This window comes from Homo sapiens, chromosome 2 (genome assembly GCF_000001405.40).
Source record: "Homo sapiens chromosome 2, GRCh38.p14 Primary Assembly".
Taxonomy (NCBI): Eukaryota; Metazoa; Chordata; class Mammalia; order Primates; family Hominidae; genus Homo; species Homo sapiens.
This window is the reverse complement of record NC_000002.12, coordinates 47,831,757-47,847,584: the sequence shown is the minus strand read 5'-3', so window position 1 is coordinate 47,847,584 and position 15,828 is coordinate 47,831,757. Positions and strand designations below refer to the sequence as shown.

At 38.9% G+C, this 15,828-nt stretch overlaps 1 protein-coding gene across 11 annotated transcripts in view; it reads left to right on the top strand.

Annotated features, from left to right (window-relative positions):
* FBXO11 (F-box protein 11) overlaps positions 1–15,828 on the top strand; it is a 99,579-nt gene that overhangs the window by 58,914 nt on the left and 24,837 nt on the right. For 7 of the 11 annotated variants that reach the window (NM_001190274.2, XM_005264572.6, NM_001374325.1 and 4 more), the window contains exons 2-11: positions 7,816–7,943; positions 8,085–8,166; positions 8,582–8,726; positions 11,584–11,713; positions 12,714–12,797; positions 12,874–13,006; positions 14,515–14,621; positions 14,705–14,816; positions 14,907–15,013; positions 15,099–15,236. In NM_001190274.2, the coding sequence (NP_001177203.1) occupies positions 7,816–7,943; positions 8,085–8,166; positions 8,582–8,726; positions 11,584–11,713; positions 12,714–12,797; positions 12,874–13,006; positions 14,515–14,621; positions 14,705–14,816; positions 14,907–15,013; positions 15,099–15,236 (1,166 nt within the window). The remainder of the gene's footprint in view (positions 1–7,815; positions 7,944–8,084; positions 8,167–8,581; positions 8,727–11,583; positions 11,714–12,713; positions 12,798–12,873; positions 13,007–14,514; positions 14,622–14,704; positions 14,817–14,906; positions 15,014–15,098; positions 15,237–15,828) is intronic. The other 4 variants (XM_017005015.2, XM_005264573.6, XM_047445922.1 and 1 more) reach the window with 1 other exon arrangement.

The following is a 15,828-nucleotide window of genomic DNA, read 5'->3' as shown; positions in this document are numbered from 1 at the left end:
GGCGTATGCCACCATGCCTTGCTAATTTTTGTATTTTTGGTAGAGACAGAGTTTCACCATGTTGACCAGGCTGGTCCCAAACTCCAGACCTCAAATGATCCTCCCGTCTTGGCCTCCCAAAGTGCTGGGATTACAGGCGTGAGCCACCACACCCAGCCATGATACTATATTTTTACTGTACCTTTTTACTTTCTTTAGATAGGCAGTTATTTACCATTGTGTTACAATTGTCTACAGTGTTCAGTACAGTACAGTAACATGCTGCACAGGCTTACAGCCTAGGAACAGTAGGCTATACCATTATAGCCTAAGTGCTTAATTTCTTTTTGTTTGTTTGTTTGAGACAGAGTCTCACTCTGTCACTCAGGCTGGAGTGCAGTTGCACAATGTCGGCTCACTGCAGTCTACACCTTTCAGGTTCAAGCAATTCTCCTGGCTCAGCCTCCTGAGTAGCTGGGATTACAGGTGTCCACCACCACACCTGGCTGATTTCTTTTATTTTTAGTAGAGATAGGGTTTCACCATGTTGGCCAGGCTGGTCTTGAACTCCTGGCCTCAGATGAAGTGCCTCCTTGGCCTCCTAAAGTGCAGGGATTACAGATGTGAGCCACCACGACCAGCCTTCTCAGAACGTATTCTTGTCTTTAAGTGATAAGTGACTGTATGTGTCTGCATTGTCCAATTAAGGGTAGCCACTAGCTGCATGTGGCTTTTGAGCACTTGAAATATGCCTAGTCTGAATAGAGGCATGCTGTGTTACACATACGTACTATTTTCAAAGATTTAGTATGAAAAAAATGTAAATTATCTCAGTAATAATTTTATATTTACATATTGAAATGATATATTTCAGATTTAATATGTTAAGTATATTAAAATTTCACTGTTTTATTTTTTAATGCAGCTAAATTACATATGTGGATTGCGTTCTATTTCTGGTGGACATTTCTGGTCTAGAACATTTTTTCTAACTAAATTTTTCTGTGAATTATAGTTAAAATTGAACATTTTTGGTAGAGGGTTATTTTTAAGTCTTTGATTACAACTTGACAATCATTGGCATAATATTCTATTAGATATAAAAATGAAAACCATAAAATTAAAAAAAAATTTTTTTTTGAAACAGTTTCGTTTTTGTTGCCCAGGCTGGAGTGCAATGGCATGATCTCCGCTCATCGCAGCCGCCTTCTTCCAGGTTCAAGCAATTCTCCTGCCTCATCCTCCTGAGTAGCTGGGATTACAGGCATGCGCCACCAAACCTGGCTAATTTTGTATTTTTAGTAGAGACGGAGTTTCTCCATGTTGGCCAGGCTGGTCTAGAACTCCCAACCTCAGATGATCTGCCCGCCTGGGCCTCCTAAAGTGCTGGGATTTACAGGCATGAGCCACCACGCCTGGCCAAAATTATTTTAAGGTCTTGCTTTTAGACTTGTTGGCACAAAACCATAACTAATCCATGATTTCGTGTTTCTTGGGTTGGAGCCAGTTTGCCGCATCTATCATGGATCGTTGGCTTTATTCATTTTTATTTAATGTAACAAATATTTTTTGTTTCATGTATGCTAAGTCTGTTTTGGGGGAATACTTCTCCATAATTTCAGGAGGGGACAAAAAATAATGGATCTACATGTAAATGCATTTGTGGATTTGGATGTTGGAAGGAAGTTAAGGCAGTTCTTGTTTGGTTTTTTTTTTTCCTGTAAAGTAGGAGATAAGCCACCACTAGTGATGGCTTCTACGAAGAACTCCCTGAATTGAGTAAAATTAAAGGGTTCTCCATTGATGGGAATCAGTATTTATTGAGTACTGATTGGGCACCAAGCTAAACACTGAAGAATATAAAAGAGGGCACCCTTGTTACCCTGCCTCGCCCTCAGAGCTTATAATTTTGTTAGGGAAATATGGCATATAATAAAAAAAGTAAGTATAACATAAGGCAGCTAAGGTATAGTAAGGTATATACGGTATATATTCAGTACTACAGGAGTTCAAAAGATGAAGCGAACCCAAATGACTAGAGATTTCTTTTAAGCTTTCTGTTTTGCTGCTTATCACAGTAGTAGCCAACTTATCTTCCCAGAATGATCCCTTTTTAAGTAACTTCTGGCACTGTACTTGATTCTCAGAACAGTCAGTAGTAATTTAATATGAGAACTATGTAGAAATTAGCACATATTCTTCAGCGCAGAGTTCAAAACAGTGATTTTATAACTCATGAGCACTTCAGGACAGTGTTTACAAGTGGGAAGTTGAGATTTCTGTGGTATTCATGACTTAAATCATGTAGCTTCTTGAATTTATTTGCTGTACATTTTAGGATGCAAATGAATTAATTAGCACCTTCTCTTTCCTGTTAGGACCTCTGAATTCCTTACTTTTCAGTCTTTACTATTTGCTGTGTCTTTGGTGAGAAGCAAAGGATTCCAGGGTGGGGTGGGTGGGTGTCTGTAGTAATAAGGTCCACAGATTTTAAGAAGGTGAAGGTGAGGAAAGGAGGAGGGAGTTGTATAGGATGAAAAGTTTGAGAATGTACTTTTGAGTGTTGTAGAATTGGACTGACTACTGAAGGAAATGGCAAACAAGCTGATAGAGACATTAACCCACATGCATGCATACTACAAACATATCAAAATGAAATATGTAATAAGGGCTGGGCACAGTGGCTCATGCCTGTAATCCCAGCACTTTGGGAGGCCAAGTTAGGCGGATCACTTGAGCTCAGGAGTTTGAGACCCATCCTTGGCAACATGGCAAAACCATGTCTCTACAGAAATACAAAAATTAGCCAGGCATGGTGGCGTGCACACCTGTAAACTGAGGTGGGAGAATTGCTTGAGCCAGGGAAACGGAGGTTGCAGTGAGTCGAGATCCCACCACTGCACTCCAGCCGGGTGACAGAGTGAGACCCTGTCTCAAAAACAAAACGAACAAAAGAAATACGCATTAAGAACAAAACTATAAACATATAACTAAACTTTTAAGGAAGGAAAGAAGAGGAGGAAAATTCATAGGTATCAGAAATCAGAGAAATAAAATCAGAACAGTAAGCGGGAGCTAGTGTTGCTGTATATAGCACAGGGGGCTTTTGGTCCTGCATATGTTCTAAGGGGTCTGGGGTTGAATTTTATTGCACATATGGGGATAGGATATATGGCCTTGGGCCTTTTCAAAATATATCTGAAACAAAGACCCAGGCATGTGGCCTAGAGCCTGAAATAACTTCCCTAATTACGCATAGAGATTAGAAAAAGTGCCCACTAGTCAAATGCTCACTCAAGAACAAAGTCAATGACAGAACAATCTAAGAGAGAATATAAAATGTGAGTGAAATGATTGAAGGGATAAAAGAAGGAAATGAAGCAATGAGGTAATAGATCAGTGTGAAAAAGAAACAGTAAAACTTGGAAAAAATTAACTTTTAGAAATTAAAAATATAATCATGGAAATTGGCAGTAGATGGGTTAAATTACAGATTAGACAGATACTCTTGCCTTGGCTGAAAAGCAAAAGTCTAGCAATAAATGGTTAAGAATAAGCAAATCTAGGCCAGGCACAGTGGCTCATGCCTGTAATCCCAGCACTTTGGGAGGCTGAGGCAGGCAGATACCTTGAGGTCAGGAGTTCGAGACCATCCTGGCCAACATAGTGAAACCCCGTCTCTATTAAAAATACAAAAATTAGCCGGGCGTAGTGGCGCGTGCCTGTAATCCCAGCTACTCGGAAGGCTGAGGTGGGAGAATAGCTTGAACCCAGGAGGCAGAGGTTGCAGTGAGCCGAGATCACGCCATTGCACTCCAACCTGGGCAACAGAGCAAGACTCATCTCAAAAAAGAAGAAGAAGAAGAAGAAGCAGCAGCAAATCTAAAATGTAATCCATAAAAGTAAGAAATTGAAAATAAAGGATTTAAAAAATACTAGACTGACACAAACCAAAACAGAAAGCTGATAGACCAAAAATAGATTTGTAAGGCAGAAAGCATTGTTAGTGATGAAGAAAGCCATTACATAATGAAGATGATGAAGAAAGCCATTAATTACATAATGAAGAATGGAATAATTCACCAGGAAGAAATAGTTATCTTGAATCTGTGTGTCCAAATAATATTGTCTCAAAGCACATAAAGCAAAAATTTGCAGGCAAAAAAAAAAAAAAGATTAACTACAAATATGGTGGGAGATTTCAGCACATTTCCTTCAGAAGCCAATGAATAAACCACCACCACCCTCAACAAAAGTGAAAAAATGTAAGCATAGAGACTATTTGAACAACACAATTAACAAGCTAGATCTTTTTAGACATGTTTAAACCCTACTCTAAAAATTAGTGTTGATGTTCCTTTCAAGCACACATAGGACGTTTACTGGTCATATTATTAATATACAAACATTTATAGAATTACACATATTAGACCTCAAAGGGAGAGAGTTCCACAAATGCCTAGGCGTATCATACTGGCTGCTTTTTGTGATTCCTGCAGTACATGGAAAATTTACAAGCTGGGCACATTGACTCACAGCTATAATAATCTCATCACTTTGGGAGGCCATGGCAGGAGGATCACTTGAGCTCAGCAGTTTTGAGACTAGCCTGCACAACATGGTGAGACCTTGTGTCTACAAAAAAAAGTTGTTTTTAATTAGCCAGGTGTGGTGGTTCACATCTGCAGTTCCAGCTGTTCGAGAGGCCAAGGTGGGAGGGCTGCTTGAGCCCAGGAGATACAGGCTGCAGTAAGCCATGATTGTGCCACTGTATTCCAGCCTGGGTGACAAAGTGAGACCCTGTATCTTTTTTTTTTTTTTTTTTTAAAGAAAAATTTACTTGTTTTTCCAAGTTTCATTTGAAAGTGATGTTAATCGAATAATATTTAAATGAAATAATAGTAATTGAAATACTTCTTGAACTCTGCATATGAGCCCAGGCATACTGTGTGTTTTACATATATTTAAGTTTTTAGCAGCTTTCAATTATAACATACTCTTATCTTTAATAGATGAGAAAATGTAGGCTTAAAAATGTTAATTTACACCCAAGGTTAGCTGACTGGAAATCTCTACTTTTAAATATTACACTTTTACAAACTCTCCCCCCTTTTTATACCTTTGTTATTATGAAATATAGCTAGGTAGAGAAACCTACATAAAACACAAATACACAGCTTGTTGAGTTATTATTAAGGTATTATCTTTGTAATACCAACAAGGCAAGAACTAGAACTTTGCCAGCTACTACTAAGCCTTTTATGTTTCCCATTCTAATTATATTCTCCTCCTGCCGGGCGCCGGTGGCTCACGCCTGTAATCCCAGCACTTTGGGAGGCCGAGGCGGGCAGATCACGAGGTCAAGAGATGAAGACCATCCTGGCCAACATTGTGAAACCCCGTCTCTATCAAAAATACAAAAATTAGCTGGCCATAGTGGCGTGCACCTGTAGTCCCAGCTACTCGGGAGGCTGAGGCCGGAGAATGGCTTGAACCCAGGAGACGGAGGTTGCAGTGAGCCGAGATCGCGCAACTGCACTCCAGCCTGGGCAACAGGGCGAGACTCTGTCTCAAAAAAAAAAAATAAAAATAAAACTGATATTCTCCTCCTTCCCCACTAAAAGCATTTGTATTATAATCATTTTCTAGCTTTTTAAAAAATAATTTGGCCGGGCACAGTGGCTCACGCCTGTAATCCCAGCCCTTTGGGAGGCCGAGGTGGGGGGATCACGAGGTCAGGAGTTAGAGACCATCCTGGCCAACATGGTGAAACCCCGTCTCTACCAAAATACAAAAAGTTAGCCAGGCATGGTGGTGTGTGCCTGTAGTCCCAGCTACTCAGGAGGCTGAGACAGGGGAATGGCGTGAACCCAGGAGGTGGAGGTTGCAGTGAGCTGAGATCACGCCACTGCACTCCAGCCTGGCGACACAGCGAGACTCCATCTCAAATAATAATAATAATAATAATTTGAATACCAAAGGGTACATTCTTAATGTGTTTTATAAAGTTTTCCTTATTTTTCTCCCACTGTTTTTGTCCAGTTTATTTGTTAAGAAACTGATAGTTGGACCTGTAGAGTTTCTTACAGGTTTGATCGGATTCAGGTTTGATGTTTTTGGCCAGACTTTATAGGTAGTGGTATAGGAGATATATACACTACTGGTTGTTTTTGTGATTTTACAAACTATTGGTACTCATTGGTTAAATCTGTTAACTCATTAGAGATAGCAGAATGGTGATTCTCTAATTTTATTATCCCTTCATTACTGGAATGTTTCTATAGAGAAGCTTCCCCTCATCTAATACTTTGCTACCTGGTGATTCAGTTTATGTAAGAAAGGAAGAATAAGTGTTTGCTTATTTGGTGTTATTTACCAGTTTTGTTTTTTGGTTTTTGGTTTTTTTTTGAGACGGAGTCTTGCTCTGTTGCCCAGGCTGGAGTGCAGTGGCATGATCTCGGCTCACTGCAAGCTCTGCCTCCCGGGTTCACACCATTCTCCTGCCTCAGCCTCCTGAGTAGCTGGGACTACGGGCGCCCGCTACCACACCAGGCTAATTTTTTGTAGTTTTAGTAGAGATGGGGTTTCACTGTGTTTTCCAGGATGGTCTCGATCTCCTGACCTCGTGATCCGCCCACCTTGGCCTCCCAAAGTGCTGGGATTACAGGCTTGAGCCACTGTGTTATTTACAAGTTTTCAACATGATGGGTTGGTTTCCACTAGCATCTTTCAAATAATCTTTTTTTTTTTTTAATTTTTAAAGTATTATTATGAACTCATAGATGGATGGATTGACTGACTGATTTTGAGACAGGGTCTTGCTCTGTCACCCAGGCTGGAGTGCAGATGTGTGATCATAGCTCACTGCAGCCGTGCTCTGTTGAAAGCACTTTGGAGGCCAAGGTGGGAGGATTGCTAGAACCCAGGAGTCTGAGACCAGCCTGGGCAATATAGTGAGACCCCATCTCACCAAAAAAAATTGTTTTTTAGTTAGCTGGGTGGTGGTGCATGCCTGTAGCCCCAGCTGCTTGGGATACTGAGGCAGGAGGATTGCTTGAGGCCAAGAGGTTGAGGCTGCAGTGAGCTGTGATCGGGCCACTGCACTCCAGCCTGGGTGACAGAATGAGACCCTATCTCCAAAAAAAAAAAAAAAAGATGTTCATACACCAGACTACCCTCTGACACCCTTTTTAACCTACCTGGTATCTCATGCACTATATTGAGCCGTTCCTCTTCATAGACACACTCCTTGCCAAGCTGCCTTCACCATATATGGTCTCTAACCATGTAGTACCAGTTCCCTTCCCACTCCTCTCAGCAAGTGGATATCCTCCTCACCTTTTTTTAAAAAAAAGTCTTCCACGGCTGGGCGTGGTGGCTCACGCCTGTAATCCCAGCACTTTGGGAGGCCGAGGTGAGTGGATCACGAGGTCAGGAGATCAAGACCATCCTGGCTACCACGATGAAACCCCATCTTTACTAAAAATACAAAAAATTAGCTGGGCGTGGTGGCGGGCGCCTGTAGTCCCAGCTACTCGGGAGGCTGAGGCAGGAGAAAGGCGTGAACCCAGGAGGCGGAGCTTGCAGTGAGCCGAGATTGCGCCACTGCACTCCAGCCTGGGCGACAGAGCGAGACTCTGTCTCAAAAAAAAAAAAAATCTTCCACATTTTATAGAAATCTAACATTTCTTTCATATAGCTATCCAGTTGGTTGGAATTTCATATAAAACTTACATCTGCTCCCTCCCGAATTTGAAGTTTTAAGAAAGTTTTCTGTATCCATAGAACTTTTTTTAAAAAGGGTATAATTTTTCTTATTGCTTTTGTTTATAACAGATGATGATGTGCCTGCAGATATGGTTGCAGAAGAATCAGGTCCTGGTGCACAAAATAGTCCATACCAACTTCGTAGAAAAACTCTTTTGCCGAAAAGAACAGCGTGTCCCACAAAGAACAGTATGGAGGTAACTTTAACTGTAGTTGCTTTTCTTTTTGTAATGAAAGAATTTTCAAGAAACAAAAAAGGGAATGTCATCCTTTTTTAGAAGTAATGATTATGGATGATAAGAATATTTGCTTTACTAGTTTCTGTTTTGTTTTTGAAGGGCGCCTCAACTTCAACTACAGAAAACTTTGGTCATCGTGCAAAACGTGCAAGAGTGTCTGGAAAATCACAAGATCTATCAGGTATTTCCTGTGGGAAAGTAACAAATAGGGTAAAATAATTTTTTTTAATTTTGCTTGATACCAAAAAATGAAAATTAAGTGTATTCGAGTATTACCTTTGGGATTCAGAAAGTGATTATTACAGAATAAACTTTAGAACCCTGACCTCTCCCTCTGACTTTTATTGTTGTATAAAAATGCTTTTTATGTATTTATTTTAACCATTTCTGAGATGGCACATAATACCTAAAAGAAGGAGTACTTTTGTTAGTTCAGGATAGAGATAAATATGTGTTACCCATGAAACCCACATGCTTATAAAATGACCATTATCCAAAAAAAAAAAGCTATTCATTAGATAAAATGAAAACTGTGTTCTTTAAATAATGAGAAAGTTATTGCTCGAATGATAGTTTATATGTTAATCTCTTTATAGCAGCACCTGCTGAACAGTATCTTCAGGAGAAACTGCCAGATGAAGTGGTTCTAAAAATCTTCTCTTACTTGCTGGAACAGGATCTTTGTAGAGCAGCTTGTGTATGTAAACGCTTCAGTGAACTTGCTAATGATCCAATTTTGTGGTAAGTAAAAACCTATTCCTTATTAACTTGAGATATGTTATTTGTTGCCCAAAATGCTAAACATGGTAGGAAAGTCGGTGCGGTGAGTTGGTAGTTACAATTAGTTGGAACAAAATTAAAATGCTTATCAATTCCAAGTTACAAATGGGGGCTGTCAGTCCAGGTGGTATTTATAAATCAGTAAATGAAGTCTTTTATCTGCTGTTTATCAGTTAATAGCAACTGATTGATTATGGGAAATGTTTTTCTTTTAGTAGCTTTTTAGAAACATAACAGTGTAATTTAAAATAGCTAATGAATTTTAAATCTGATAGATTAGAATGTAGGTTTTATATATCACTTTTGGAAAACAGTTGTATTCATGAATCTTTAAATAATTCATGCCCTTTGACCCAGTAATTACTGGGTCATGCCCTTTGACCCAGTAATTCTACTTCTGAAAAGTTTTTTTTGCTTTATGTACAGATTTTTCGTAACAGCCTAGTTAATAATGAGAAAAATTATAAATAATCTAAATATCCAGAATTAAGGGAATGAACTACATAAACTGTGTAATGTGTACTTGGAGAGTTGTGATATAACCACTAATAGTAATTTTTACAAAGAGATTTTCATTTGTTTTTTGAGAGACAGGGTCTTGCTCTGTCACCCAGGCTGGAGTGCAGTGTCACGCTCCTAGCTCACTGCAGCCTCAACCCTCTGGGCTCAAGCCATTCTCCCACCTCAGCCTCCTGAGTAGCTGGCACCACAGGCATGTGTCACCATGCCCAGCTAATTTTTTTTTTTTTTTTTTTTTTGAGACAAAGGGTCTCACTCTGTTACTCAGTCTGATCTTGAACTCCTGGGGTCAAGTGATCCTTCTACCTCGGCCGCCCAAAGTGCTGGGATTATAGGCATGAGCCATTGCACCCAGCCCAGGTTTTTAATAAGATGAAAAAAATGCTGTTATAAAAAGTGAAAAGAGGCCAGGTGTGGTGGCTCCTGCCTGTGGTCCCAGCTACTCCGGAGGCTGAGGCAGGAGGATCATTTGAGCCCAGGAAGTCAAGGCTGCAGAAAGCCGTGATCGTGCCACTGCACTGCAGCCTGGGCGGCAGACGGAGACCCTGTTTTTTAAAGAAAAGAACAGAGTACAAAATTGTATATGCTATATAATCACAACTATAATAAATGATCTGTAGATAAAATGAGTGGAAGCAAATATGGCAGACTGTTAATAGTTAATATATTGAAACTATAGTTCTTTACACTTCTTTGTTTTACAACGGTTATATGTATTACTTTTATGATGCACAAAAGGTGCACCATATATATATATGTTTTTGTTGTTGTTTTTGACGGAGTTTCGTTCTTGTTGCCCAGGCTAGAGTGCAGTGGCACAATCTTGACTCACTGCAACCTCTGCCTCCCGGGTTCAAGCAATTCTCCTGCCTCAGCCTCCTGAGTAGCTGGGATTACAGGCACCTCCCACCATGCCCAGCTATTTTTTGTATTTTTAGTAGAGACAGGGTTTCACCATGTTGGCTAGGCTGGTCTTGAACTCCTGACCTCAGGTGATCCTCCTGCCTGGGCCTCCCAAAGTGCTGGGATTACAGGCATGGGCCACTGTGCCCGGCCCACACCTTACATTTAAGAGAAAAATTACAAAGGAGAAATGAGAATGAAGAGCAGCAGAACAAAACAGCATTGCTCACTGTACCAGAAATGATAATAGTTAGCCATTACTCCAGTTTGAAGATTTCATTGTGCTTGATAGGATATAAATGGACTGAAGATATAGGACAAATTAAGTTCAAAGTATTTTTACTGAAAATTATCTTTTTAGGCTAGGCGAAGTGGCTCACGCCTATAATCCCAGCACTTTGGGAGGCTGAAGTGGGCAGATTACTTGAGCCCAGGAGTTTGAGACCAGCCTGGGCAACATACTGGGACCTCATTTCTACAAAAAAAAATCAAAAAATAAGACAAGAGGATCACTTGAACCTGGGAGGTTAAGGCTGCAATGAGCCATGATCACGCCTCTGCACTCCAGTGTGGGCAACGGGAGTGAGACTCTGTCTCAAAAAGAAAAAGAAAGAAAATTATCTTTTTAAGTGATAATCATGATGTTTTTACAGTAAGGATAACTTTTTTTCCCCTTCCTGAGTAAACAGTTTGTAAGGAAATTGAAACTTTTTGTTGTTCTGTGTGGACAAATTTTCATACGCAGTTACATTGTGAAAATTTTTGCAGGAAAACTAATTTTCGGCCAGGCATGGTGGCTCACGCCTGTAATCCCAGCACTTAGGGAGGCTGAGGTGGGTAAATCACTTGAGCTCCAGAGTTCGAGACCAGCCTGGGTAACATGTGCCTGTAGTTCCAGCTACTTGGGAGGCTGAGGTGGGAGGATCATTTGAGCCCAGGAGGCAGAGGTTGCAGTGAACTGAGATCGTGGCACTGCACTCCAGCCTGGGTGATAGAAATAGACTATGTCTCAAAGAAAAAAAAGGAAAAAAACATAATTTCCATATGCAACTACACTGAAAATTTTAAATGTGAAAAATACGTTTTCACGTTTTAAATCCTGTTTTTAGCTGTGCGTGGTGACACATGCCCATAATCTCAGCTACTCAGGAGGCTGAGGCTTGAACCTGGGAGAGGGAGGTTGCAGTGAGCCAAGATCATGCCACTTGCATTCTAGCCTGGATGACAGTGAGACTGTGTCTCAAAAAAAAAATCCTGTGATTTAATATTCATTTTTGTCTATTCTTACTTTCTTACTCAAGTTTTTGAGGCCTCAAATAATTGTTATAGTTGTTCAAAACTGTATTAATCTAAAGGACATTTTATCAAGAAAATTTTAATTCCTTTCTCTGTTCAGGAAACGATTATATATGGAAGTATTTGAATATACTCGCCCTATGATGCATCCTGAACCTGGAAAATTCTACCAGATTAATCCAGAAGAGTATGAACATCCAAATCCCTGGAAAGAGAGTTTCCAGCAGTTGGTATGAAATATAAATAGAATATATTGGTTTATATTATACATTTGTAAATAACTTTCTTTTAAGAAATAAGTTTAGGCTGGGCGTGGTGGCTCACACCTGTAATCCCAGCACCTTGGGAGGCCGAGGTAGGAGGATTACCTGAGGTCAGGAGTTCGAGACCAGCTTGGCCAACATGGCGAAACTCCATCTCTTCTAAAAATACAAAAATTAGCCGGACATGGTGGCGCACACCTGTAGTCCCAGCTACTTCGGAGGCTAAGGCAGGAGAATCACTTGAACCCAGGAGGCAGAGTTGCAGAGAGCTGACATTGCACTGCTGCACTCCAGCCTGGGCGACAGAGTGAGACTCTTGTCTCAGGGAAAAAAAAAAAGTTGAGTAGGTTTTAATGAACATTTATCAACCAACAGAATATTCAGCAATTCTTTTCACTACTGACATATCCCCCCATTAATAAGTTAGTACAGTAAGCATTAGTAGCCTAAGAGCAGTTGTGATTTCAATGGGTCTGTTTGAACTTGTATTTAAATTATTAGTGTTCAGCATTTGTTTTAAAGTTCCACATTTAGCTTAATTGTTATACGGCCCTTCGTGAGTGAGTCTCAGCTGGAGATGATTTTGCTTTCTGTGGGACATTTGGCGATGTCGGGAGACATTTTTTGATTGTCACAATGGGAGGAGAGTGTGCTGCTGCTATTTGGCTGGGTGAGGCCAGGGATACCTCTAAACATCCTACAGTGCACAGGACAGCCCCCATAACAAAGAATTAACTGACTTAAAATATCAGTAATGCTGAGATTGAGAAACCCTGTTCTTTGTTTCTGGATATTACCGGATCATAACTTGTTTTAGATTTTACATTGTACTCTGACAGAAAATTATTTGGAATAGTTGAGAATTATTTTTGATTTGTAATAAAAGTTGTTCATGCAATTGTACATTAATTTAAATATAAGGTTTATGTTAGTAGTCAATGGTTTTGTTTTGTTTTTGACATTTTAGTATAAAGGTGCACATGTAAAGCCAGGATTTGCTGAACATTTCTACAGTAACCCTGCAAGATATAAAGGAAGAGAAAATATGTTGGTATGTTTGATTTTTATTTTTATGACTTAAAATGGTAATCTTTCAGTTCTGTACTGACACATTTATTTTTTTCTAGTATTATGATACTATTGAAGATGCCCTTGGTGGGGTACAAGAGGCTCATTTTGATGGACTTATCTTTGTTCATTCTGGAATATATACTGATGAATGGATATATATTGAATCTCCAATCACCATGATTGGTGCAGGTATTTTGAAATGCATTGTCATTAAAATTTTAATATTTTACTCATTTATGTGATAGGATTTTAAAAATGCTAGTGACTTAAAATCCAGTTTTATAATATCCTGCTGGTAAAGTAGGAATGAAGATATCACACATATTTTAAGTGAAGGAAGTGAAAACATAAGAGTTCAGAAATTATAGCTGTATATAAATTCTTTCTCCCCGCCCCCCCCAACCTTTTTTGTTTTTTTGATGCAGAGTCTAGCTATGTCACTCAGGCTAGAGTGCAGTGGCACAATTTCAGTTCACTGTAACCTCTGCCTCCTGGGTTCAAGCAATTCTCATGCCTCAACCTCTCAAGTAGCTGGGATTATAGGCATGCACCACCATGCGTGGCTAATTTTTGTATTTTTAGCAGAGATAGGGTTTCGCCATGTTGGCCAGGCTGGTCTCAAACTCCTGGCCTCAAGTGATTTGCCCATCTCGGCCTTCCAAAGTGCGGGGATTACAGACATGAGCCACTGTGCCTGGCTGTATATGTTTCCTAATGTTAGTACTTTCTCCATTTGCCTTGAGTTATTCATTAAACGAAGAAAAATAGCTTTTTCATCTTTTATTTGAAAATAAAGATGCAGCCAGGTGTGGTGGCTCACACCTGTAAACCCAGTAGTTTGGGAGGCTGAGGTGGGTGGATCGCTTCAGGTCAGGAGTTAAAGACTGGCCTGGCCAACATGGTGAAACCCCATCTTTACTAAAAATACAAAAAAAATTAGCCAGGTGTGGTGGTGTGCACCTGTAATCCCAGCGACTCTGGAGGCTGAGGCAGGAGAATTGCAAAGAAAGATGCTAATATTTCTATTGCTATGTTTTTAAAGGAACTGAAATAGAATTTTTAAATACTTTTGTACTATTTCAAAGCTATTTATGGTCAGGTTTCTAAGAATAAATGTAATATCTGTCAAACACTGAGTCATTTGAAGATTTGTGGTTTTTTTATTTTGAGGATACAGTACATAGAACATTTTAAGATAGCTAGTAATTATTATTTGCTAGTGAAATTTGCATTTACAGCCTCTTTTGCTTTCTTCCTCTATCTCCTCATGAAGATGGGGAGAATAGATTAGAGCAAATGTTTGTCTGGTGATTTTATTACTTTCTAAATCGAGGCCACTGTTGGAAATAAATTTAAATAGAGGTCTCTTCTCTTCTTGAGCTTCTGTTTCCAGTGCTGCTGCTGGAAACAGAATGGTTTCCACAAGAAACCATTTTTTGTTTTTGTTTCCACAAGAAACCATTTTTTAATATGCCGTTGCATTTTATATTCATAGTATTTATAGTTAAATGTTATTAGAAGTAATACTGTGCATGGATTTGAATATAGCAAAGGCTGATGATGAAACATAGTTAACTGATAGTGAATATTAGTCCCACTACTCAGTACTAATGTTTTTAGTAAGTTCCCCCTCCATAAAGATACCCATCTGTTGAAATCGAATAAAGGTAATATTCTTTAAAATATCTTCTCCACAGCACCTGGGAAAGTGGCAGACAAAGTTATAATTGAAAACACTAGAGATTCAACCTTCGTTTTTATGGAAGGCTCTGAAGATGCTTATGTTGGATATATGACAATAAGGGTAAGACATGTTAAGATTTAAAATACACATTGAAATCATAAAGGCAGTAATTGTTTATTTCAAACAAAATTTTTACTTTTCAGTTTAACCCTGATGACAAATCTGCACAACACCACAATGCACACCACTGCTTAGAGATTACAGTAAATTGTAGCCCTATTATTGATCACTGTATCATCCGAAGTACATGTACAGGTTAGTGTTTTCTTTATATTTTACAATAAAATTTTGAGTCACTGTATGTTGCCCAGTAGGTTTTTACATAAATAAATAATTTTTCTACAGTTGGTTCTGCAGTATGTGTTAGTGGTCAAGGAGCATGTCCCACCATCAAGCACTGTAACATCAGTGACTGTGAAAATGTTGGACTATATATAACAGATCATGCACAGGTATTTTTTAATTTTGTGTGGTTTTTTTCTTTTTAGAAAATGTTTAAAAGCTCTACTGATGTTTGTTTCTGATAACTTGTTGTAGGGAATATATGAGGATAATGAAATTTCCAATAATGCGTTAGCTGGGATTTGGGTTAAAAATCATGGAAACCCAATTATTAGACGGAATCATATTCATCATGGACGTGATGTTGGTGTGTTCACATTTGATCATGGCATGGTAAGAACACTTATTTTTAATAGAAAAACGGACTTCTGTATCAGTTAAATTCCAAGTATGTTTCAGCATTATTTTCTCATCACCAAATTATCTGAATTGAAGAGTATAGGTTTAAAAGCAATTTCAGCATTATTTTTTAAAATTAATATGAAATATTTATTCTGTAAATTTATGCATCAGACATATCCATGTAGAGGTGATAGCGTTCTTAGGCAATATATGTGATCTTTGAGGGGAGTAAGGTATAACTCGTTAATTAAGTCTCAAATGTGTGTTCATAAAAGCCACCCAAAAGCTTTCTGTTTTAAAGAAAATTCCTGTATCCTCCAGTTTAATAAATCAAAATTTCCAAGGATGGGGCTTAGAATATGTATTTTTAATAAACAACATAAGTGAATCTAACACAGTTTGTAGAGTATACTTTGAGAAATAATGGTTTCATTGTTATTTTGCTTTTCATTTAATTCCTCTTGAAAATTTTAAACTGGCAGAACTTTAATAGGAGATACATTGATAAAATACCAATTTTAAAACCATTATGCAGCAGTTAATATTAGGCATCCTTATGGAATATACTGTGTTTTAAGTATTA